The sequence below is a fragment of the Homo sapiens genome, chromosome 13, assembly GCF_000001405.40.
Source record: "Homo sapiens chromosome 13, GRCh38.p14 Primary Assembly".
Classification (NCBI taxonomy): domain Eukaryota; kingdom Metazoa; phylum Chordata; class Mammalia; order Primates; family Hominidae; genus Homo; species Homo sapiens.
This window is the reverse complement of record NC_000013.11, coordinates 26,673,824-26,699,301: the sequence shown is the minus strand read 5'-3', so window position 1 is coordinate 26,699,301 and position 25,478 is coordinate 26,673,824. Positions and strand designations below refer to the sequence as shown.

The window sequence follows — 25,478 nt, the reverse complement described above, 5'->3', positions numbered from 1 at the left end:
GCATTCTGAGCAAGAGAGCCAAGCAGAAGCCTCGTTACCTTTTAGGGTGTAGCCTTGGAAATCAGGCACTTCCAAAATCCCACCAGGTTCAAGGAGAAGGAAACAGGGCACACCTCTTGATAGGGAGTGGCAAGATTCTGGAAGAGAATATAGGTCTAGAAATACTGTCATCAGCATTTTTGGAAAATCCAGCCTGCCTCAGATATGTTTCTAGAAACGAAATTGGTCGGTCAAGGGTATGTACAGTTTTAATTTTGATACAGGGTTGCTAAATTGCCCTCCAAAGAACTCGTACCAGTTCACTCTCAACAGCAGTGCATGAAAAACACATATTTGTTTAATGAAAGAATGAAGGATTGAGCAAGTGAATAGGGAGCCGAACTTGTGAGCCTGGTCTTCAGAGAACGCACTTCATCATCTGGCCACCAGAGGGCGGTGTTTCCCCACAGACCCGCAGAAGGGCGCCCTCGGAAAGGAAGAGCTACTGGCTCTGCAGCGATATTAACTAGCTTCCAGGAGGCGGAGGCCAGCGCCTCCCTGCATCCCCGTCTCGGCATTAAACCAAACGTGGACGCCCTTGATAGACTTTTAAAGGGAAAGCAGGAATCGTCCTTTACACTTCACCTGCTTTTTACAGCGCAGGGGCCTCTGACATTTGTGTAAAATCCACCCGCCAGGAACCGCAGGCTCAGAGCTCAGAAGCGCCCTGTCCTCTTCAGGAGCCCGGGGGCTGACGCCACTCCTTCGAGGGGGCCAAGGCTGAAAAATCAGCTGGCAAAAGGCAGATTAATTGGAGAAAAGGCATACACGTTTATGTAACGTATGTACACAGGAGCCTTCAGCATAAAGAACGAACGTACAGGGGAACTTGTCCACTTTTATGCTTCTGTCCAACAAAGTATGGACGGCCGGGTAGAATATGATCAGACAAGAAGGGTGTGATCTAACGCTGAGACCGAGTGAGGACACCCAGCAAGGCCTGTCCGGCTAGATTCTGCCTGGCCTCTCTGAGCACACATTCCTTCCTTCTGGAATGAGGGGGTCTTATGACCAGCAGTCAAACAAGGTAGGTCAGATCATTTCTTTATGACCAGTTTTTACACAGAGAGTCTGAGAAAGAAAAAGAGTAACAGGTTTTATGGCTGGCTTTGGAGAGAAGAGGGTGTGGTTTCTATGACCCATCTTGGGGAAGAGGGATTCTGGTTTCTATGGGTAGCCTTGGGGGAAAATGGGACTAAGAGACAGGAGGGCGGGAGGAGGTCAGGGAAAACCTTTTGCTTCTGAGGCTGCTTCCAAGACTTTCATTTTGGGGTACAATTTTCTGAGCCCCAACACTTTCAAAGACAGATTTCCAAATGGTTTTAGTTTTAAATGTTCAAATACCTAGGCCTGCACTCCAGCCCTGGGAGAAGCAGGAACACAGGTAGAGGCCAGGGACACGGTGACGCTGCGTCCCCCGCATCTCCTCCAGAGTGGTCACAGAGGACACCGCCACCCCACTCCACCTTCATGCAGCTCACTCCTGAGGAGGGCTCTGAGCCACAACCCTGAGCCTCGCCTGCCTCCTTCCTGCTCAGGGAGCCCTTGGGGCTGGGGTGTGGCATCCCAGGGTTTGGGGGGTGTCAAGCAAGATTTCCCAGCCCACACCCACATTGGCAACCCCACTCCGCTCTCTGTACACATGGTGTGCAGGCTGACCTCCATATCCTCAGCTCCCAGGCCACTCCGAAGCTAGCCTGGTCACACAGCTGCCTGTTCCCCGACACTCCCCAGCTCCCTTCCAGCAGCCGCTCTCCAAAACAGCCACTCCTCTGTCCCTACTCCTCTGCCCGGTGTAGAACCAGTGCCCCGTGCACGCTCCTGGTGTAGAGCCAGTACCCCGTGCATGCTCCTGGTGTAGAGCCAGTGCCCCGTGCATGCTCCTGGAGGAGGCCTGTGCAGCGCAGGGCTGCTCTTGAGGAACCCCGAACCCTCACGCCTCACCCCTCACCCATGGGGCCAGCCCTGCTTCCTGCCTCCCTAAACACCCTCCTTCAACATTTGCAGGGAAAAAGGCAGGACAGTTCAACAGCGCAGCTCTGATGTCAGGATGATTCCATCACGGGTAAACTTAAAAATGAAGTGAGCCAGGCAGACGTCCCCTACTCCATCCCAGACATTTACTTCAACCTAGACCCAGGGTGGAGCTGGGGAGGGTGGGAGTCAGGACTGGGAGCAACCTACAGCTCTGGGAGTTTAACCATTGGCTTCTAGGCCAAATCTGGGGGCAGGCCACACTCTGAGGCTAGCCCTGCAGCCTCACATTGAAAGAGGCCACATTGTTCCTTGTTCCTCCTATCAAGCTCATCTGCTTTTGGGTGTCCTTTTGGGCCTCCAGCCATCACCCTCCAAGTGGCAATCAGGGCCATGGCTTCCAGGCAGAGCAGCTGAATGGCTGCGAGCTGACCAGCTTCCTCCTGCAAAGGGCCCTTGGGGAGGAGCTCAGAGCCAGGGATTCAGGTCTGGCATCAGAAGGGCTGGGCATGGAATACAACATAGCAAGACCCCATCTCTACAAAAAATAGCCAGGTGTGGTGGTGTGCACCTGTAGTCCCAGCTACTCCGGAGATTTGAGGCAGGAGGATCGCTGGAGCTCGAGACTGCAGTGAGCTATGATCGTACCACTGCACTCCAGCCTGAGCAACAAATGAGACCCTGTCTCAAAAAAAAAAAAAAAGATTGCTCAGCCCAAAGCTTCTGCTTCTTCATCTAAGCGGGAAATGCGATGGAGGATGTCACCACGCTCCAGCAGAGATGCACCAGTCTGAGGCTCAGACCTGCTTACCCTGTAGGGCCCACAGCTTCCCTCCGGCAGCTACAGCTGTTCCTTCGGTGGACGTGTGGCGGTCCTGGGGATGCAGTGGTTGATTTTCGTGTCATCTGCCCCTCTAGGCGGGGTCAGGCACAGAGGGGTCCCCAGTGAGAAGTTCACACACTGAGTCACGCTAAGCTGGAGGACTGGGGACTCCAGGCTCCACTCATCTGCTCCCCACCGCCCGACCCCGCTGTCAGTGGCCCAGGCCCCAGAGGGCGGGACTGTCCTCCTTTCCTGCCCTGGCTGCACCTCGCACTGCTTCCTAGTTAACACCCGCTGAGCTGCTGAACTCAGGCGGCCCCACCTCCTCCCTCACCAGGCCTGAATCAGGGAGACCTCTTCCTAATCGCCTTCCACAATGTCTTCCTTCCAAGGGCCTTAGCACAGACAGTGCTGCTCCCTTTCCGTGCTCGGCTGGGAACAAGTCCAGCTGGGCGACAGGGAGGGGCAGGCACCGACTGACTCCAGTCTCCTGGGCCACCAGGTTCAACACAGACGTGGCCTTTGTCAGAACGAGGTCGGGGGCCCACCAGGTGTAAATCAGTCTCTGGCCCAGGTCTTAGCAGAAGGCAGATAACCAGGATTCCTAGGTATGGTGGCCACCCAAGAATGTTTACTCTGTTTCCCATTTAAAGTCAAGTAATATGTGGGAAAGTGGATCTGGGACAGGCCCCACGGGTGGCCCCTGCGCACCCCCAAGGGAAGCCGGTCAGGAAGAGAAGGGGAAGAAAGCTTCCTTCTCCACCTAAGTGTGAAAGCCACAGACAGCCCCCAGCAAAACATCTTTGTAAAAGGTGTGACCCAAAGAAAATCAGTGCAGGCCTTTGCTGTCCTAAATGCATCCTCTGATGCTGCCTGTCCCAGCTGGGGCCACGGGGTGGGGTCCTGCTGCTGTGGCGCAACGCCTCTTAGGTCTCCACTGCCTGCTGGAGGAGGAGGGAGGGCTGGCCCGACAGCGCAGGAGATGCATCACGCAAACAGCCTAGGGCAGAAGTCAGGGGGCAGGACACGGGCCATGCAAGGACACGTAAGAGTGCCAGGCTGATGTCAGACACCTAAGAGTGCCAGGCTGATGTCACGGCAGCCAGTGGGGGGAAGCTAGAAGAGGCCATGCTGACTTTCTCCGCCTGCATGCAGTGTGCCAGCCCCTGTGTCTGCCACAAGGACCCAAGCAGAGACTATGACCCTCTCCCTACTCCAGCCCGGGAAGGCCATCCAGTGAGTAACATCAGTGGGGACAGCCCACAGGCAAAGCTCAGGCCCCCACCTCTCCTCCCTAGGCCCTGAATAGGAAGGAGCTCCTGAATGACCTGTGCCAGGACCGTGGGCTCCCACGTGCTTTGTGCGGCCAGCACCGTTGATCTGACCAAGCGGGAAGCTCAGGGGCGTGCAGACAGCAGGGGCTGTGGAACAGGGAGAGCTGCTCCGAGAGGAACATGGGAGTTAAGGATGGCAGCTCTGCATCTTTCCATCTGGGGTCCAAAGATGAAAACGACTGGGTCATAACCCAGCTCACCTTTGTGGGCAGGGTTTCAGCTGCTGCCAACCAGACACCGGAGGAAGGGACAGCCCCTGATGGAGAGGGCGCTGGGTCCCCCTGGAGTCCATGAGGCACCATTAGTCGTCCAATAGCCCAGAACATCGCAGGTGGCATCTTCGGGCTCCTGTCAATCATTCCAGGTCAGCACGAAGGGCAGGGCCTAACTCTGGCGTGCCTAGTAAGAACCACTCCAGAAGGCTACCGGGTAAACTGTGGATTCTGGGTCCTGTGCTCAAGGTTTTGATGCAGTAGGTTTGGGATGGGGCCTGGAAATCTGCATTTGAACACGCATACCAGGGGAGCGGGTGAGTGGAGCCCAGAGTCCCCCGTCCTCCAGCTTAGCATGACTCAGTGTGTGAACCCCTCACTGGGGACCCCTCTGTGCCTGACCTCGCCTACAGGGGCAGATGACACGAAAATCAAGCCCTTCTGATGCCAGATCTGAATCCCTGGCTCTGAGCTCATCCCACAAGGTTCCTTGTGGGAATGAGCCTGGGAGGAACCCAGGCTCAGCTGAGAAGGCACTGAAGGGGACTCCTTCCTGGTGCCCAGGGGCATCTCGGCTCAGACACAACTTCTAATCTCTGCTGAGAGAGGGCCAGCTCCTTTATTAACTTATGTGGGCTTCTGCACCCCCAAAACCCAGTGTGGCAGGATCTGACCGGGTTGGCATTGGAAGCATCAGGGGAAGACAGGAGAGGACAGGTCACCTGTCGGGGGAAGAGGGAAGGACAGCAGAAACCAAGGCGATGTGGGGGCCACAGGGACCCACGGCCTCTGTGAGGAAGGAGCCTGGCAAGGAAAGTCGTGCTGGTGGAGGGAGGAGGGAGGCTTACAGTGACAAGGCGAGCCAGAGACCAGGGACAGGAGGGACACAGGGCTGCTGGAGCCACAGCAACACTGCGACCTGTGCAAATGGAAATGTGGCCAGGTGCCCTGGGAGGAGGCAACCTGGGGCCCTTCATGGTGAGTCATCCAGTGCTGATCACCATGCTGCTTCCTGCCCCGACCTCAAGGCATGTCGCTGAAATTCCCCAATTGGAAAACCAAATGAAGGCCCAGGTCTTTGATTTTTGGTGTGTGTGTGTGTGTGTGTGTGTGTGTGTGATTTTTGTTGTTTTTTTGTGAGACACAGTCTCACTCTGTCACCCAGGCTGGAGTGCAGTGGTGCGATCATAGTTCACTGCAGCCTTGACTCCCTGGGCTCAAGCAATCCTCCCATCTCAGCCTCCTGAGTAGCCGGAACAACAGGAGTGAGCTGCCATGCCCAGCTGATTTCTTTTTCTTTTTGGAGCAATGGGGTCTTGCTATGTTGCCTAGGCTGGTCTCAAACTCCTGAGCTCAAGTGATCCTCCCATCTTGGCCTCCCAAATTGCTGGAGTTACAGGCATGAGCCACCACCATGCCTGGCTAGGTCTCTGAAATATTAAAAGACATGTCAAGGAGCTGAAAGCTGCTCCCCTAACTTAATTATCAAGATCTTCAAGTGTGGCTCTCAGAAGATACACTTCAAACCACCGTCACCTACACACATGCAAAGAAACATCTTCTGAATGCGGATGCTAAGTCATGTTCACAGGTTCAGGACGTGCCAGCTGCAGAGTCAAACTGCTGTTTCAACTGGTTTTAGGCCACAGCAGCTGACGCACATCCTCGAATATGAAATGCTTTTAAATGTCACTTCACGTTAAGTACCACTTGGTAGGTTTTTAAATTACTCTTAAATGGCATATTTTCTTAATTTTTCTTCATGGTAAATCATCGGCCAATTCACCACCTCTAACTAATCATGGTGCTGTATTTAAAGCTAATTACTCACATCACAAGTACACAGGGCAAATGCAGTGGGGCAATTAAAAGATCGCACGTACAGATATCCACAGGACAGTGCTCACGTGTTTTGGCAAATCAATGTCCAGGTGCCAGGCCCGGGAAGAAAGTATACTCGGGAAGCAAATCTCCTTCTCATCTAGTTCCCTGTTGGGACACCTCTACAAGTTACCCACACCTCCAAATTAAATATCCATGTCCTCAAAAGCTTGTGACACAGCTCTGTATTGGGACTGTCTTCACAGAACACAAAATCTGAGTACAGTACACAGTCCCATAACAACGTGAACCCTTACATACTGGTGATGCTAGGCAGTGGTTACAAAGTTTTAGGTAGTGGAACCCTTGATTCAAATGAACCCCAATAATTAAAAGTAAATATTTTATGTGTATAGATTTATTCCTGAATCTAAATTTATAAAACTCAGTGAAAATATTAAAGTTATTTGATGAACATAAAAATGGAGACTGGGGGTAAGGCTGACGATTTGTTAAAGTAGTCTTAATGCCCATGTGACTCACATACTGTTCTGCTTGCACGGTTTAAAGAACATTCTGGGTTTGGGTTTTTTTTGTTTTTTGTTTTTTTTTTTTTGAGACATAGTCTCTCTCTGTCGCCCAGGCTGGAGCGCAATGGTGCAATCCGTGCTCACTGCAACCTCCGCCTTCCAGGTTCAAGCAATTCTCCTGCCTCAGCCTCCTGAGTAGCTGGGATTACAGGCGCACACCACCATGCATGGCTAATTTTTGTATTTTTAGTAGAGACGGGGTTTCACCATGTTGGCCAGGCTGGTTTCGAACTCCTGACCTCAAGTGATCCACCCACCTCAGCCTCCCAACGTGCTGGGATTACAGGCATGCCACAGCATCCGGCCTTAAAGAACATTCTGATTCACAGATAAGACGTAGACACATGTTTCCTATCACATCATGCAATACTTGGATACCACTTTGTTAAAGAACTATGTCACCAGTTTTATTGTGGGGTCCTTGCAAACACAAGTTTGCTTGGCAGAAAAATGGAGACACTGATCATTTGTTGTAATTGGGTATTAAACATCAGTTTGCATTTTTAAATTTACATTAACATTTTTAAAAATAAATGTTGCATCAAGTATTTATAGAATGAGGCTTCTGGGACTGGAGAACTAGCTCATTTCAGACCAAATCACTACAGATAACAATTATGAACTGGACAAAATACACCTCACAGCCATCGAAGGCATTGCACAGAAATCAAAACCAGAAACACATGAGAGGGGAGCTGACGCTTGGCAGAAGAAAAAGGCTTTGCATTTCTGATTATTAAAGGCATTTTGGTGAGGGCAGGCCCTGTTCTGCCAAGCAGGCAGCTAAGCCTGAACAGAAAATCTGCAGTCTTGGCTGGCTGACTTAACCCACCATCTTATTGGCTTAAAAAAATGAGAGGGCTGAGTTCAGAGCGATCAAAGAAGATTGAAAGTGAAGTGTTCCTACAAACAAGAGCCAGAGGGGGATCCAAAAATTCTGTGTAAAACTGCCTGAGTCTCTGTTTGATTCTGTAACCAAGCGTGAGCCAAATAAACTCCAAACAGCCTGGCTAAGGTTAAAAGAACTTAAGAAATTTCTGCTATTGTCTATTGTGTGTGTGCTGGGTGATGGGGGCAGGGAGGAATTGAGAGTTTAATTCTAGCCATGTTAACTGTCTTCTTTAAAAAAAAAAAAAATCAGTACTTTTTGGAGGAACATAACAGAATCGAGAGTCTCTAAAATGTATCATTCACCGAGTTTACAATACAATCCAAAACTATTAGGCATGCACTCAAGAGTGAAAACACTCAATAGCGACTGATCCTGAAAAAAAAAAAATCCAGATGTTGGAATTAGCAAAGATTTTTAAAGAGCCAGTATAACTATGCTCAAAGATGTAAAGGAAAATAAGCTTATAATAAATGAACAACAAAAAAGAACCATTAGGACATTCTAGAGTGAAAAAATCCAATGTCTGAAATAAAAAATTTACTAGATGGGCTTAAGAGCAAATTATATAACAGATGACAGAATAGAGTCAGTGAACCTACTCTAAGTGTATTTTACATTATAAATATTAAACTCTAATGATATGTATGCTGAAGAATTCGGGGTGAAGAATACACATTACTTTGAAATGCATAAAAGATAAGAATTGATGAACAGATGGAGAGGGGTATATGAGTGTTTACTGAACAACTTTATTGTAGATTTTAATTTTTTTCATAATGAAACAGAGGGTGAGGGATATTTACCTAACTCTGAAAGGTGGAACAGGAGGACCTTGAACTCTTGAAAATTCAAGAGTCAAGAGACCAAGCTTTGAGCCCCCATCAATGGAAGCAATGGCCTTTTCCCCATCTTTAAAGGTAGGAGCTAGACTAGCAGAGCACTAAGATGCCTTCTAAATACATATAAATAAAACGGACCTAAGATCCTTTCTAAGATTAGTGCCATCTAAGGCATGAGGCTATCAAGATCAATTAAAAAACCAATAGGCTGTAAATATGAATATTTTGATAGGTGTGCAGCTATGGCAGACATGTCATCATGGTGGGGTTTGTTGGTTCAGAAAGCTCCCTAAATCCCGAATGCTGGGCATGGGAGGTTTCCAGCATCTTTGTATCCCATCTCATGACACTTCTTCCTCTCAGTGCTTCCATTCCACAATACTTTAGTTCCATTCTCACCCCATATTGTCTTTCCCATCTTAGGGAATGCACAGGCTGTTCTCTCTACTGAAAAACTCCTTTCCCTTCCCTGAGCTAACTTCTGTTCATTCTCAAATCTCAGCTTCTCTTGGCCCACTGAGATTGGGCACTTCTCATTCTGCCCCAAACTTCAGCACATGTCAAATGATCTAAATTACTTATTCGACAATATTTAATGTCCTTTTTTCTCATTAGATGAGCAGCCCCATGAGGGCAGGGCCCAGCCTGCCACTCTTTTTCAGCCAGTGGCTTGTAGACGAAAGAGGTGGGTCACAACCACTGGGTGTCTGCTTAGCACCAGGCACTCTTCCAAGTGTTTTACACATATCCATGTATTTAAAAATCTTATTAGGCTCACAAACAGTTGTTGAAGAAGCCTCCCCTTTTTCCCTATGAACAACAATCCCTAAATAACTATTTGAAACCTAGAAAGTGCCAGGCACTGTGCTCAACACACAGGATACAGCAGAACAGGCCCCTTCCTGCCTCCCAGAGCTCAGTCTGGTGGGGAATACACACCATAAAGAGGGAGCCACACATCAGATGACAAGTACTAAGGAGGAAATGCAAGGTCAAGGTATTTGGTAGAATTTGCCATGTTTAAAAAAGTTGCTCACACTTTACTTTTTGCTAAAGAAAACCACTCAGGAATCCATCCACTCATCTAATCATGCAAAAAGCAGCTGCTCATTGTCTAGGAGACTGGGTGCTGTGCCAAGGCTCTCAGGATGCAAAGATGACTTACATCTACAAGGAGCACACAGTCCAGTGAAAGGCTACACACAGAACCAGCCATCATACCACATGATGCGTGCCATGGTAGAGGTACACACCGTGTGCATCAGGAACTTGAAAGCAGCTTCTACAGGAAGCCTGACCTCCAGTCTGGCTGTCTCTGAAGTATGTGGCCACACTTACCCACCCAATCTCGACTCTCATTACCCCAACATGTGATTCTGCCCCAGAACTGAGTTTTCTATCGACCAAGGTCCCTGAGAGAGTAACTTAGCTTCACTCTAGTTTTCCCACATATGAAACAGAATGTTAAGGATTATTGTAAGGATTAAATGAAAACATCTCATAAGCAATACATACATACTACAGCGTGTTATTCACTTTTACCGTTGAGAGTAAATGTGGTTAAGACCCTCTTGCCCCAGGCTCTATCCTCTCAACAGGTGGCTGCCCTACTCCCAGCATGGCCTTTTCTTTCTAACCAGACTAGTGCTGCCCCGAGTCATTCAGGAATTCAATCTGAACTCTTGGTGACACAAAAATTATGTAGAAATTTAAATGGAAACCAAAGTAGTGTCTTCTGTTGTCTAATAAGGAAAATGCTAAACAAAAGCAAAAACAAAAAACCACTTAACACCAAGTTCTCTTCCAAAAAAGCCAAACATACAACACTGTTATTAATAAGCAAAACCTCTTAGGGTTAAAAGTGTAATTTTATTTAGATGTTACTTGTACATAATCTATAGTAAGATATACAAACAGATAAAAATTGTTTAACAGTTTTTTTTAATACCACTTTAAATTCAATTTACAACAGCATTGGTAATACTGCAAGATGACAGATACTATGATTTATAAAACAAAAATTACTTGCTACTCTGGCTGATACATTCCCACTAGTCTTTAATGGATTAATATGTATCATGTATTTTAATTGCAAATTATTATAAAACTTTTACAACCTAGCCACTTGGAGCTCAGAAAACATTTTGATGTTCTAAAAACTTACTGAGATGAAAATGTTAATTTTTGAATAGTATCCTTAGTAAAGAAAAACATCAGTGTAGCCAAGCTTACGGTCTGGGGCTGACAGTGCAAACTCACTTGCCTTGTGCTCCGCCGCCTCCTGTGTGCGCAGCCATCGGGGACTGGGCAATCTTCCCATCCCTTCCCTAGGTCTACGCTATGAGAGAAAAGCTTAGGAGACATTAAACTAAAACAGACGTGGAGAAATAATACGAGGGACAATTTAAAATTACCTTACAATTTATAACTATAATTTAAAACACAAAGTTTGGAGAAATGAAATGTGCTTTTGGATGTTTCTTCTCCATTTGTTTTGGTAAATAGTTTTTGAAAATGAAACTGAAAATTCAAATCTTCTCTTTATTCTTTTCATTGTAATACCATATTAGAAAAGATCTGGATTTAAATTTCAGAATAAATTGAATTTGCTGGAAAAATACTCTAAAAATAATCTAAATTGGATTTCAGTCATTTTCCATTCTTTTAAATGTTATGGTACACAACAGGGCAAAAGCTTTTTCGCAAGTCATAAAATTGAGTTGAAAATAACTTGTTGATTCAGCTACAGGAAGACAACTAACAATTAACAGGCTCATGAATATTTATGAATAAAGTGCCACTAATTTTATTGTAATAAGATATAAATAGAATAAATCCTGACATGGATAGTAGCTTCTGTGTTCTCTCCATCCTGAGAACAGAAGGGCCATAAAAAAACAAAGAAGCATTACCAAAGGGGAGTTCTAGACCCACACGGGGAACTCCTAATACAAAAGCAACAAGAAAGACAAGTAAGACTTTAAAAGTTGCAGAAGTCCTAAGAATAGCGCCAATGTAGTAGGCCCTTTTTAACAACAACAAAAAAAAAAAAAAGAGAGAGAGAGAGAAATTAGAAATTTAGAAGTTCATTAATAACTGTTACTTATATTCAAGGAATTTATAGTGACAGCCTAGTGGTGACCAGCTCTAGGAAAAGACGCTGAAGAGGACGCTCCCAGCACCTGGGACAGAGGAGAGAACAGACACACCAGGGAAGCAGCCTTGGAAAGGGGATGCAGACATGAGGCTTTTCAGGGCTTCAGATCTACATGACTGCACCCAATGGACAGGCTCTGTACAATCACTGCCCACAAGCCCAACAGGTAGCCACTCGAGACACACACACTGAGGGGACTTCGGGGCTGGCTGACTTGCTCAGATGCATTTTAACAAAAACCCCCATCACCATCCTGCTCACATTCCTACCGTCACCTCAAACATCTCTGCTTTTAGCTCCAGATTCTTCTCAACATAACTGAGTAACTAACCACAATGGATATGAAATACTGTTGAGTAGGTTAAAGTCCTTAATAAGTCAAGCGTCTTAGCATATTTTTGAAGTCGTATCTATAATCAAAGCCTGGAGCACCTGTTTGTTCAACACAGTTATCTTTCATCCAGAATTACAAAATATAGAAGCTGTCATTCTTGAGTTTCCCCATGGGTCCCTGGTATTGCCCACGTGGGAACAACAGGAAGGGTGGAGGTGAGGGCACAGCACTGTACTACAGCTGCAGGGCTGATCAAGGGAATCTCATGAGGTGCTTTTTATCATTTAATGTGCCAACAACAGGAGGACAACCATGTGCTTCTAGAACAGGGTGAAGGCCCTCCTCACGGGAGTGATCCCTAATCTGGCCCCAGCACCGTGAAAGGTGAATAGCTGTCAATATCTACTTTCACCTAAACCTAAGCTTTTAAAATTCTGACCAAGTGGTGAAAGGTGCCATCTAAAGTGCTCTCTGTTGCTCGCTGAGGAGCTAAGAACTCCTGCGGCTCACTCAGGACACAGGTGTCAGGAAACTAAAGGAGCAGGGCTCCTTTGCAGCCCAGGCCCTGTGCCGCAGCTCTGCCCAGCTCAGCGGTGTAGCTCCCAGAGTCATGGACTGCTCGCATCTGTTCTGGCCGGCTGGTGCCCACACTGGAGAGACTGGCAAGTATCTTGAGTGTCATCCCCAATGGCCCCAGGAAGGAAAATGGACTCTGTTCTTCACTTTCATTACTGTTGAGCTGCTGAATTCTCTTGCAAAAACCATCAACAGGCATTTACTAAGCAAATGCCCACAGGGAACCCAGCCTGAAAAGGGCCCTTCCAATTTCATATTTGACAGGCATGTGCAGAGGTAATGAAATTATTCAGCAGAGCATCAGATTCACTCAGAGGCTACCAAGCCAAGAAACTGAAAGCAGAAACACTGGATTCTCCCTGTTTGTTGAACCTTTCCCTCTAAAACCAACTTATTCAGAAACACATCCTTTAAAAAAACAAAAGGAAAAACCAAAGCGGTGAAACAATATCACTTACTGGTTGGAAGACATCACTCTGACATAGTCATTAGTCTTGCAGAGACCTAACACCAGGCAGCTTCACAAACACACAGCAAGTCTGCAGAGTTATATTGATCAGTAAGAGTAAACCCAAACTGCACTAAATACTCTCATGGCCAAGAGGAAAGCAGATGCTGTTTTCAGGACAATGTGATAGTGACAGCCTATTTCCTCATGTGCAGCACAATTTGCTATGTTTAGTGGCACTTAAGTATTACACAGTAAATACTGAAAAGACCCAGAATTTTTGGATGTGCAGAAGCAATATCACATTGTTTATACAAAAGGTGCTATGCTACGGGATTAGAATACCACTATTTGGGTGTAGAGACCACTTAAAATCTTCAACACGCTCCCACACGCGGCCTCTCCGCCGGCCTTTGCTCAGTCGGACCAGTCGTTCTCGTCGAACTCTGAGTCGTCGTCAGAGTCGCTGTACTCCACGGCAATGCGCCGGGACAGGATCGTGGCCACGTCATTCCCCACTGGCTCCCGCTTGGCCTCCTGCTCCCGCTGCTCCTGCACCTTTTTCAGTTGAATTCCTGCAGACACAACACGTGGTTCAGAATCACATCCTTTTGCTGGCTCCAAATTAAAGATAAACGAACAAATATGTCTATTGGACTTTTTTTTCTACTGACACTAAGGACAGAAAGTTTTAGAAATTTGAGGGGAGAAAAGCTCAGGGAATATTAAAAGTTTCATGAGAAAAAACATGCATTCAAAGTGAGAAGTTTTTTTGTAACAAAGTAATGTGTTAAAATATTAAAAATTCCTAATTTCAGTGTACCTGAACACCATTAGAGAAAACTGTGGAGCTGCACCATCCCAGACAGCAGCCACTAGGCACATATAGCCTTAAAAGCATGAACTGACATGTGGCTAGTGGCTACTCTCTGGGACGCTGCAGGCTGGAGCATTTCTATCACCACAGGACATCTACTAGGCAGCAACAGCATCCAGAGCCTTGGAAACAGTGTTCTATGCTACTCACTCTCAGCTAACCCAAGAAGTAACTGAGAAACCTTTATTTCAACAATTACTGTGGAAACAAACATAAAATACAATCATCTACTTTCTAGCTTAGTAACAAAGTAAGATATTTGATGATTTAATGTTTATCCATTTTTTTTTTTTTTTTTGAGATTGGGTCTCACTCTGTGACCCAGGCTGGAGTGCAGTGTTACGATCATGGCTCACTGCAGCCTCGACCTCCTGGGCTCAAGCAATCCTCCCACCTCAGCCTCCTGAGTAGCTGGAACCACCGGCGCACGCCACCATGCACGGTTAAATTTTGTATTTTCTTTTTTGTAGAGATAGAGTCTTGCAATGTTGCCCAAGATGGTATCCATTCATTTTTTAACTGTTTTGAAATAATTTCAGATTTACAGAACAGCTATGAGACCAGCAGAAAAACATTCCCATATACTTGGATTCCCCAACTGCTAACATCTGACCACATTTATTTCCCAATCTTCCCCTATCATCTTTACACAGACAGACACAGACACTTTTCTCTGGACCATTTGAGAGTGAATGGCATATAATGTCCCTTTACCCCTAAAATAGTTCATGTGTTACCGCCCCCGCCTCGCCCACCCAAAATATCAAAATCACAAAATTAGTTTGGATACACTACTACTATCTATCCTACAAATATTATTCAAATTTTGCAAAAAGACCCAATCTAATTGCAAATGGAAAAGATTATCCCCTGGTTCAGAATCCAGTGGAAATTATCCGTGACATTGGTTGTCAATTTTGTTAATGTCCTTTAATCTGGATAGTTCTTCACAGTCTTTGTGTTTTACAACCTTCTCGTTTTTGAAGAATATAGGAAGCTATTTTGCAGAATGTCTGTCGATTTGGGTGTATCAGATGTTTCCTCGAGATTAGATACAGATTATGTATCTACTCTTGGTAGACAGGGCTTATAAGGTGTTAAAAAAAAAAAAGGCAAATCCAACACCGTCCTACAATGACCCCGAACTTGATATTCATGAGCTAATATACCTCTAGGACTTTTTTATCTTGACAAAATAAAAGTGTGTCAATGATGTCCAGGTACACAGAGGACCCTGGGGTCTTTAGAAGGGTGCGTGGGCCACACTGTGGGCCTGGTTCATGGGCACACAAGAAAAACGCAGAGGCAGCAGCATCACAGCTCCTCTGAAGGACATCCCTGATGCTGAGCTGGCGGGCTGCAGCCAGGCTCCTTGCTTGGTCACTTCCAGATGAGATGACTAAACTGTGACCAAGTCTGTGCAGCTCCCCACAGGCGAGAAGCTCTTGGATATTCCCATAACATGTCAGGGACCCTCGACCAACCTGGGTTGGGACCTGGTTAAGAATCCATGGTGTGGGCTGGAGGTTCCCAGGGGCTCTCTGGGCAGCCCAAGACAGGCGAGGGCAGACTCCCCACCCAATTCCACCTGAGATGCTCTGTTTCCATGTGTTTTGTGGTCAGGGGGTCAACGCGGGACTTTCATCTGACAAAAGGGTTATGCTGTTGAATATTATAGATTCTGAAAAACCACTGGCTTAGGACATCAAGCAAATATGACAAGTCCAGCACAAACTCTTTTTTTTTTTTAAAGAAATCATTAATATGAGCTCACTTTCTTTCATTTATACTTTTCCCCTTAGAGCAGAATGCAGAGAAGAGATCCAATTAATTAATCGATCACTTCAGTTATTGGGTTTCTGGTTTCAAGGTAAGTAAAAACTTCCTAATTTCAATTCTTTTTTTTTTTTTGAGACGGGTCTCGCTCTGTCGCCTAGGCTGGAGTGCAGGGGCGTGACCACGGCTCACTGCAGCCTTGACCTCCCACACTCAAGCAATCCTCCCACCTCAGCCTCCTGAGTAGCTGGGACTACAGGCTCAGGCCAACATGCTCAGCTAATTTTTTTTTGCATTTTTTGTAGGGATAGAGTTTTGCCATGTTGCCCAGGCTGCTCTCAAACTCCTGGGCTCAAGCAATCCAACTGCCTTGGCCTCCCAAAGTGCTGGGATTACAGGCATGAGCCCACCGCGCCCGGCTGTTTCCCAATCTTTATCACAATTTGATTACCTTACACTGGACAAAAACACAACTACTATTCAAAACAAAACAAAAAAATCAAGTAAGACCCCTTTAACTCTATTTTAAAAAACGTAGTGAGTAGTCATTTGAAGACAAGGAGGCTGTAGCTGGCTGGAGACATGAAGAAACCTCTTGCTGAAAGGCAGGCTGTGTGTCTGGGGGCTCCACTTACCCATTCGAATAGCAGCGAGGAGGTCGCTTCGAGCATCACTGATTGGTGGCTGTGCAGGCTCTTGCCGCTTCGCCTCAGCTACTGGGGGGCCATGCATTGGGGAGGACGAAAGAGAAGACCCGGGACCAGGAGGGCCTGGCGGGGGAGGTGGTGGGCCCGGGGGTGGCGGGGCTGTGACCAGGAGCCCGGTGGAGGGTGGGTGAGGAGGAGCTGCGTGCGTGGAGCTGGCTGATGCAGGGAACGGGGGCTGCATGGGCATCTGGAGAGGGCTGACGAAGGCAGTTTGTGCTGAGGGAATCACAGGAGGAGGTGGCGGAGGAGGTGGTCCGGATGGGTTGTAATACTCAATTATCTGCGCTGGGAGCATCCTGAGAGAGATATGAGGCACATAGTCACCAAGGGAACAAGAGAGGGTCACGTCCTGGGAGCTCTTAGACACCTAACGGAGCCATCCCCAGACACAACACGTATTGTCACCTGAACTTCAATCATGGCAGGATGCAAACATGCACACCTTGGGTCAGTTATTTTCACAGTTTGACATTATTCATTATGACAGAAGTCAAGATCTGCTACTGAAATGTGCCAAAAGGAGGACCACTCAAAAAGTGCAGCACTTCCTGAAGAAAGGCAGAATAAAGCAGCTGACTGCAGAGGCCAGGACGGCAGCGCCAGTGAAGGCTTCACACTGGGATCTCAAGGCGGTAGCTCACAAACTTGTCTTTTAAGGGTCCTAAGGTCAACCAGATTGGGAGCTTTCTACATTCTCTAACCCACCTCCGTGGAAATGCCCCATGCCTGCAGTGCCCAGGTGTGTATCAAAAGCTTCGAAAAGTCACACAGCCAAGAAATCTGCTGAATTCTATTCAGCCGAGGGTCTTCCAAACTAACTGGACCATGGGCCCTCTCTTGGCCTGACACAGCCTCAAGCCACTCTGGGGATCCTGACTTGGCATGCATGGCCAGGGAGAGCACTTCTGAGAGCAGGATTGTCATTCAGACAGGGGTGTGCAGACACGTGTTAGCAGTGGACACCAACACACGGTAATTTTCCTGGGCACCAACTCTGAGGAATGAAGTCTTTAAAGACTAGAGTAAAGCCAAAAAAAAGAGAGGTGGGTGCCTAAATTGATAAACGCCTGAACATGAAGTCTCTGAATTCTACTTCTCAGGGAACAGGAGGGCCTGGGGCAGAATGATGTCTGGGTGGTCAGAGGTCACGAAAGCAGATTTTGGTCAAGTCTGAGAAATGAGGCACAGGAGCTGCATGGTGTGGTCTTCTCGTCTGTGATAACAATTTTCTGTGGTCCACTCAGGATGTGTCCAGAAACTTGAGGGTTTGGGACAGGTTCACAAAATCAGCACTTAATACCCTTTATCAATGCCTTGGCTTAAAGAGCCATTCAAACACCCAGAGTGTGTGTGAGGGAACACACATGCATGCACAGTGTGGCCTGAGACTCAACTGTAAGTCTGAGCTTATGCTGCACCTGCTTTATTTCACACAGAATGTTAGAGTTGCTAGTATCTACATCCAGTCATCCTTGACTCTATCTTGGCCTCTAAAATACCGGAGTTAAAATTCTCCTACCACATAGAGCAAGATTCAAATGCAAGGCCAGGAGGGATTAGGGTACAAGGCATGCTGAGTTACCCGTAGTCTGCTGGAGCCATCGGTGCAGAGGCCTGGGACCCCTCTGGGGCCTGAGGGGGAGGCGGGGGGGGCGGCTGCTGAGGTCTGTTGAGGGCCATGTGCCTCGCCGAGGCAGATGGGGGCCGGTACTCATGCTCCGCAGCCTGGCTTGCAGGCCCGTGTGGTGGCACGTCACCAGCTGCATAGGAAGGGGTCACAGGCTGGGGGTGCAGAGAATGGTTGGGAGTAGCCGGGTAAGAGTAATCCGTAACGTCCGATGCATGTGACCTGGCATTTGAAAACAAGAGGTGGGAGAAATTTAAATTAATTTAAAAATTGTCGGCTAACAGGCACATGGATGTATTTGAATAATAACATTGCTAATACACAAAAATCAGACATTAATTTGCTTTACTATCAACTAGGTATAGCCCCGTGAGAGATTCCAAGCAACAACATAATTATTATAAGTCGGCAGCAAGCCCCAGTGTTACATGGATTCAGATTCACAGCTTTGAAGTGAATAAGTCAGACAGACCGGCAAGCAGGAAACAGCAGAGCCTCCTTTTCACAGTATTTCAGCATACGTTTTCTCTAAGAAGGCTATGAAAGAAACCATTCCATTTAGAAACAGGATATAAGACAGAAGATTTCAGTGGCAATGAAACTGACAGCATATAATTAGAAAATATAAAATGGCAGGTTAACTGGATAAATATTAACAGTAAGAACAGGAAAAGAAATCGAGAATGCAGTAGAGTGAATCATATTTTTCTTAAACAGAAGAAATGTACTTAACAAAAAGGGCAGAAAGCAATGCGGTGCACTATGGAAAGGCCTTCTTTCCATAGTTTTCTTTGCACACAAACTGGGTGTGAAACTCCGAAAGGAAAGGGATCTTGGATTAGTGGAGCAGAGCTGAGACATGGGGTGCAGGGACGGGATTCCTGCTAAGCCCTCAGGAGGAGAGGAAGGACCCAAGTGTGGCAGCCCGGCAGTGCCGTGGGCGTTAGTAAGACAGTCACACGCTCCTGGCTCAGGTTACAGGACATGTGGCCAGGAGGGGCTGTACATCCTCTCATGGCGGCAGAAGCAGGGGCAGTCTGAGTCTGGGAACCCAAAGAAAGCAAAACAACAAACCCGCTGGGCACTCTGTCCTCTTTGGCGCTCCCTGCCTGCTCCAGTTTCTTTGCGTCACTCATAAACTCAATGCCCATTTTCCTTCTCTCCCACTCTTCTTTTCTTGTTCTGACTTTTCTCACATTTACTTGCTGGTTTCTGTTAGGGTTCAGCTTGTGTTTCTCTCTCTGAAGGAAATACCAAACACACATTGGGGGTGCTGAGGGAGCAGGGAAGATGCACGCTGCATTTCCATCTTTGGGATTCCAGTTGGTAGCTTTTCTTAACTGGGGCACCATGTGGCACAGAAAAGCCTTCCAAATGAGAAGAGACAGCTTCTTTTCCTTTTTCCTTCCTTAATTGAAGTGTAACAACTAATAACTACTCATTATTTTCTTCCCTAATTGCAGTATGAATTCTGGATTATGGTGCACTTCTGATTATGTCTTTTGAACTAGGTGAGCTGCTAGCAAATGACTTAAAAATATATTTAATGGGGGAAGGACCTGACCTGTATTTAGATTTAGAGTATTTTAAAAATGTAAATTCCTATAACCCTTGGAGACACTGATGATGTGTGCTTGACTCTGCGCATGACTACGAGTCACTGGCTTACAGTGCAACCTTTTAAAGGAAACAGAGTTCTCCAGCCAAACATGGACAGCTTTCTGATGAGATGAGGGTAGGAAACTATAAATACTGTGGCATAACTAGGAGGGCGATCCCTATCAAGGAGCCTTGCAACACAGGGTAGAAAGGAAGCAAGGAAAAGGGGCTAACCAGATGGAGGCAGAAGTGAAGGAAGACTCGATAAATATCTGAAGTAGAAACCAGAGATTTCTACAGGGCAGAACCCTGATGAAGGGTGCCCATCAGGAGGACGGGGGCTGGGGGAAGAGGGGACTGGTCAGTTGAAGAGGGAAGGACCACAGAAAAGGGATGTGCCAGCAGGCAGGAGGAGGAGGAGGGAGGAGCAGGCAGCTGTTGGAGATGAGCCCCACTCCCAGTGGGGAGGCAGAAACCAGCTGCAGACGCACGGCCAAGGTGGAGGTGAGTGGAGATCCCGAGGCCTCATGATGGTCAGTGATCACCTATTACAGAAGAGAGGACTGGGAGGGCCAGAGGCGACACTGACACGGGAGGAAGAGGACTGGGAGGGCCGGGGACGATGGGAGGAGGAGGGCCGGGAGGGCCGGAGATGACACCGACACGGGAGGAGGAGGAAGAGGGCTGGGAGGGCTGGAGACAACGCTGACATGGGAGGAGGAGGGCCGGGAGGGCCAGAGGCGACACCACACGGGAGGAAGTAGGCACAGCAGCAGAGACTCAGTGTGAGAGGTCGATATATCCCCCAGGGTTTTTTGGGTAGACAGGCGGGCAGCCAGAGATCTGCACCAGGGCCCAGAACTGGATGAGAAAAAACAAGGACAATTGGGCATGGAGGTGTGCGACTCCCTGAGTGGCAGTGACAGAGAGCTGGTCATACAGCAGGCAAGCACTTCCCAGCGCTCATCTTAAATTTATTCTCAGGAACAAGCCATTCCTAACAATCTAGAGAGAGAGCAAAAATGTAAGATGGGTTACGGTATATTACTTATATAATAGCATATACACACACCATGAAACCTGGTATTTAAATTTCCCTCAGTATCTTGGATGCACTCAGATGAGCGGATACAATCATTAAAAATCATGTTGCGAAATAATACCTAAAACATGGGATATAATTTCTAAAAGTCAAAAGAAAGAAAACATGGCATGACTCCAATTTTGTAAAAGAAAAAAGAAACACATGTATAGAAAAAGACTAAAGAGAAATACACTAAAATGCATACAACGGTTTCTCTGCATGGTGAAACTATAGATCATATTTCATTTTAATTTTTTCCTGTAACTTCCAGATATAATAAGCATGTCTTATTTTATAATAAAAAAGTGACACACTGTAGTAAAAAAAAATAAAAATTTCTAAATTAAGGGTTATAATCCAATACAATGATGAGTTATAATCTATTTATCTGATAGTAAATAATGTATGCAAATAGTAAGAAGCCATGGGAAATAGTAGGAGACAACAAAAGGAATTCTGAAGAAATAAAACAATCAGACTTATTTTTTGAAAATTAAGAGAAACGCAGATGTATGTAAGCAACATAAATACAAAGGCAGACTATATCTGAATAACCATCCATTTTATATCCAACATGGAATAATCTCAGATGCTAGAAGGAGTATCATTCAACTGAGAGATTTTTAAAAATCCATCATTTTCCCATCTGCATCTATTTTTGAAAAGTCTATATAGGATAAAAACAAAGTATACGTTTTGCACGAGTAAACAATCATAGCTAAATTATTTAGAAAAAAAACAAAAAAGCAGATTGACATCATGGGAGCTATTAAGTTCATACATTCCTCCCCACCCAAAGAACTATGAGCAGAACTGTGTTATAATTCCTACTTTCTATAGAAATAAACTCACACTAAAATTCAAATGAGGCTAAAACTCAGTTAAAGCTCCAATAATTCTCTAATATTTAACAAATAGAAGTTTGTACAGAAAAATTACCAGAACTTGCCTCACATCCTCCCAATGACTTATAGACCTTCTGGGGTGGGAACATTGAAGGCACGTAATACGTTAAGAGTTTGTGCTAAACACTGAGTTTTACAAAGGTAGAAAAAAAGGGCACAGATACAACCCAAAGTCCAGGTTGCTGTTGTTTTGAAACATTCTTGATCACATATTGTAAGAATTCTCTATTCAAATTTTTAAATGCCGATGAGAGTTTATGCAAATGGAAGACTACAACTTTACAAAAGCAGAAATAGAAAACTGAATCAAACGTTAAAATTGACTAGTCATTTCCTGTTGTTCAATGAATGCCTTTGGTGACAAGTGTGACTTAATGACCACATCATTCACGCCTGCAAGAAATATTTTTACTTAACTGCTAATAAATTTTTAAGTAAACGCCAATAGAATTCTTCTCCTGAAATCAGAATATATAAGTTATCTGAAATAAGAAGTAAATCTCTCTTTTGTTCATCATTTTTTCAAAGGGTTACTAAAGGAACAATGAAGGTACTCCTTAGTTACTTTACCACCTGCCAATCATTTTTAGATACCAAGTGGCAAAGGAAATTCAACATTCCATGCTAAGAGAAAGAATTAAATGATTATTAAAGTAAAAACTTAAGTCATAAGCAGTTACCCCAAATTCAGAATCAGTGTTAAAACACTACATCTAGATGAACTCAACAATACATTTTAAGTCAGAGAGATTTTCTAAAATCAAAGGAACCCAATGTAAAATAACACTGTCTTCAAGTATTATTTCAAAATCAAAATACAGATAAACAATTTTTAAGGAAAATCTTAAGACATCAAGGGCCATATAAACCCCGAAGCTATTGATGCATTTCAAATGATAATAAAACCAGGTAGTACCCAGTTGCCCAAGCATCAGGGCTGAGGGAGCAGTGACACACACACACCTAGTATCTGGGGACAGGGATCCCTCGGAAGACGCTCCATGGTACACACTCTGAGACAACCTGTTGTCGGGTCTAAGCTCTTTGTCATATGCCATCATATTCCACTCCTGGCGCCTGTTTCTGGCTTTTCTAACCTTTTTCACCTCACGGGTGGTGCCATCTATACGCTTTTGCTCCTGATGTCCAGGAAAGGAAAGAGAGCATGCCAAGACAGAAGGGAAAGGAAAACAGCTGGTTAAATGCAGTTATAATGCACAAGGCCCATGCCTGATGAACAGACAAGACACATTCGCATTTCGATTACCCTAATGTTACAGAAACTCTAAAGCAGTGCACTCCTCTTACCCAACAGAACCAACAAAACAGAATCAACAAAAAGTTACCCTGCTACAACTGTTAAGAGTTGCTTACCATCGTTTTCATTAAAGTAAAAAAACTTTCACTTGAATATGCTTGTAACTTGTTTTAAACCTAAACAAGGTCTTTCAGATCTATATTACATGGGTGAACAACCTGGAAACACCATAAAGAGAAATTATTTCCCGCCACCACACAATTTTGACTGACTTCTTAACGTACAATTATCTTTCAAAGAAAATAATTCAAAACATTCTGTTCCCAATTTCTAAAAGATTACGGAATAAGTGAATCCTGTAAATAGTTTAACACAAAATTAAGCAAGATAAAAACTTACCTGCTCATAAAAAGCACCATTCTTCCTCTAGCCCTACTTGGCCAGAAAATGTTTCATTCAACAAATACTTAGTTCTTAAACAGGTGCTTCTTGAAACGTGAGAAGTTATTTCTATGTGTGCCTCTAAGTTTTTCCTGCCTCCTATACAAAATTTTATGATCTTTAAGGATGAGAATCATGTGTCTTTATTTCCTACGTTTCCCTCTTGTCTTATGGTATCTCAACATACTGTTTTTACACAGAATACACACTCAATACATGCTGGCTAAATGATCAAATCCACAGCCAGGCAGCAAGCATGAACTTCTAGTGCTATGCCCGAGGTACTGCGCCAGGCACTGACAACACAAATGGCAAACACACACACACACACACACACAGACATGGCATCTGTGCTCATGGAGCCTGCAGTCCACAAGAGGACACAAATAAAGGTACTATTATAAATGTACCATAAAAATAAATGTATTTATTTTCACAAATATATTTTTATGTTTAAATATATACGTGTGTGTGTGTGTGTGTGTGTGTGTGTGTGTGTGTGTGTGTATGTGTGTCTAGTCTGGAAGTCAGGGAGGCATCCTGGAATGACTGAGAGTATTGAAAGTGTATTGACAGTGGCATCAATTCTGCAGAGGAGTATGGGTCAGGTGCCTGCCAAGAGGAGAGGACAGACTGTGTGAGAGCTCTGGGGAGGAGGATAGCACTGCACTCAAAGAAATAAAAGAATGTAAATGGTACATTGGGGTGAATGGCCCAAGATCTGAAAGGCAGGAAGACCTTAGAGGCCTTTATCCCAACAGCAATGCGAACCCATTAAAGAACAAGAAGGGAAGGCTGACATGCTGAGAAGGCATTGGAGAAGATCTCTCTGTGTTACAGAAAACAAATTAAAAGAGGGAAGATAGGGACACAAGTGAGAAAGCTACTAAGTGGGTATAGGGTGAAAGAACAGCAGGTGGCCCAAGGGTGTGGTGAAGACAGAAAACTGGACCGTTTTCAGAGGCATCCCGGAGGCTTTAGGCATGGATCCACAGAGGATGTGAACATGAAATTCACAGAAGATAAAGAAATGGTTAATAAGCATATGAGACGATGTAACACATTCAATCTTTCATCAAAAGAAAGTAATATCCAGGACTGGAGAAGGCCTGGTAAGAACATAAACTAGTTCTTCAGTCTTTTAAAGATTACGGGCAATATAATTCTATCTTTCAAAATTTAAAATTCACATTCTCTTCAATAAGAGCAATTCAACTTCTAGAAATTTATCCTGAAGAATTATCTGCACCTAAGTAGAGGGATAACCACTGCAGTATTGTAAGAGCAACAGTAATGGGTAATTTATGAAGCATTTATATTTCAGAATACTACACAACTATTAAAAAGAATGAAGTACATTTTTAATAATGTCAGTGTGTGTATGTAAGTCATATGTAGTACAACTATGTATACACAAATACTTCGTAAAATGTTTATGCAAATATTTATGAATGCTAAAAGGTCTTAAAAGATGCACACCAAGCTGTTAACCGTGGCTAGGTACTCCCAGGGAAGGGAGTGCTATTTGAGTATTTTACAACCAGCATGTATTGGGTGTGTACTTTGAAAAACCAAAGGAAAAAAGTGGGGGAGGAAGATTTCAATGTGATTCCAATATGCATCCTGATTAAGAACCATCGTATTAAAAATAATGAATAATCGCTTCTCGGCCTTTTGGCTAAGATCAAGTGTAAAAATAATGAATAACTATTCCCCTTACTTTTTAAAAGATGCATGCTGACAAATTCAGGGATGAAGTGTTATGATATTTGCAACTTTCTTCACCATGGTTCAGCCTCCAAATCTACCTATCAACATGCACACAGGACACACAAGCGCATGCGAACCAAACATGAAAGAATATGAACAGTGATGAATCCAGGCTCCAGCTACACTGGCCTACATTAAAATCCTTAGAAGCTGCCAAACTGGTTCCTCCCCCAGGATGATCTTAGACACTGCTACCTAGAAGCCTCCTCAATTCGGAAGCACGCCACCTCATCTGCCCCCCACACCTCTCCAGCCTCCCCGTAGCACCTTCCCACTGTTGAGCTAACTTCTGCTACCCTCCCTTGGAACCCAGCCTGCATGACACCTCCTTAGAGAGGTCTTCCTTGACCCCTCACTGTGTGTACACTGTCACACACCAGGTCATCTCACTCAGA

The 25,478-nt window shown here is 45.3% G+C and overlaps 1 protein-coding gene and 1 long non-coding RNA gene across 12 annotated transcripts in view, besides 1 other annotated feature; one reads left to right on the top strand and one right to left on the bottom strand.

Annotated features, from left to right (window-relative positions):
- The first annotated feature begins 483 nt into the window (after positions 1–483).
- Positions 484–20,818, top strand: LOC107984597 (uncharacterized). Of its 2 annotated transcripts, none has more exons than XR_001749798.2 (3): positions 484–1,066; positions 15,719–15,786; positions 16,887–20,818. It is a non-coding gene; the product is annotated as an uncharacterized LOC107984597 (long non-coding RNA). The 2 variants fall into 2 exon arrangements; XR_007063731.1 differs by having other exon boundaries at positions 505–1,066; positions 15,724–15,786; positions 16,887–18,065.
- Positions 3,111–3,632: an enhancer, noted in NCBI's record as "H3K4me1 hESC enhancer chr13:27269807-27270328 (GRCh37/hg19 assembly coordinates)". NCBI's record gives its function as "activates a minimal SCP1, AML or CMV promoter by ChIP-STARR-seq in primed H9 embryonic stem cells {active_cell/tissue: H9 hESC(primed)}" and the evidence as "EXISTENCE:reporter gene assay evidence [ECO:0000049][PMID:30033119]".
- Positions 10,354–25,478, bottom strand: part of WASF3 (WASP family member 3) — a 149,810-nt gene continuing 134,685 nt past the window's right edge. For 6 of the 10 annotated variants that reach the window (XM_024449315.2, XM_047430060.1, NM_006646.6 and 3 more), the window contains 4 exons: positions 22,578–22,753; positions 17,982–18,248; positions 16,328–16,695; positions 10,354–13,614 (listed from right to left, as the gene is read on the bottom strand). In XM_024449315.2, coding sequence (XP_024305083.1) covers positions 13,457–13,614; positions 16,328–16,695; positions 17,982–18,248; positions 22,578–22,753 — 969 coding nt within the window. In that variant the 3' untranslated portion in view covers positions 10,354–13,456. Of the gene's footprint in view, positions 13,615–16,327; positions 16,696–17,981; positions 18,249–19,100; positions 19,268–22,577; positions 22,754–25,478 lie in introns of all 10 variants that reach the window. The other 4 variants (XM_047430064.1, XM_047430063.1, XM_047430062.1 and 1 more) reach the window with 2 other exon arrangements.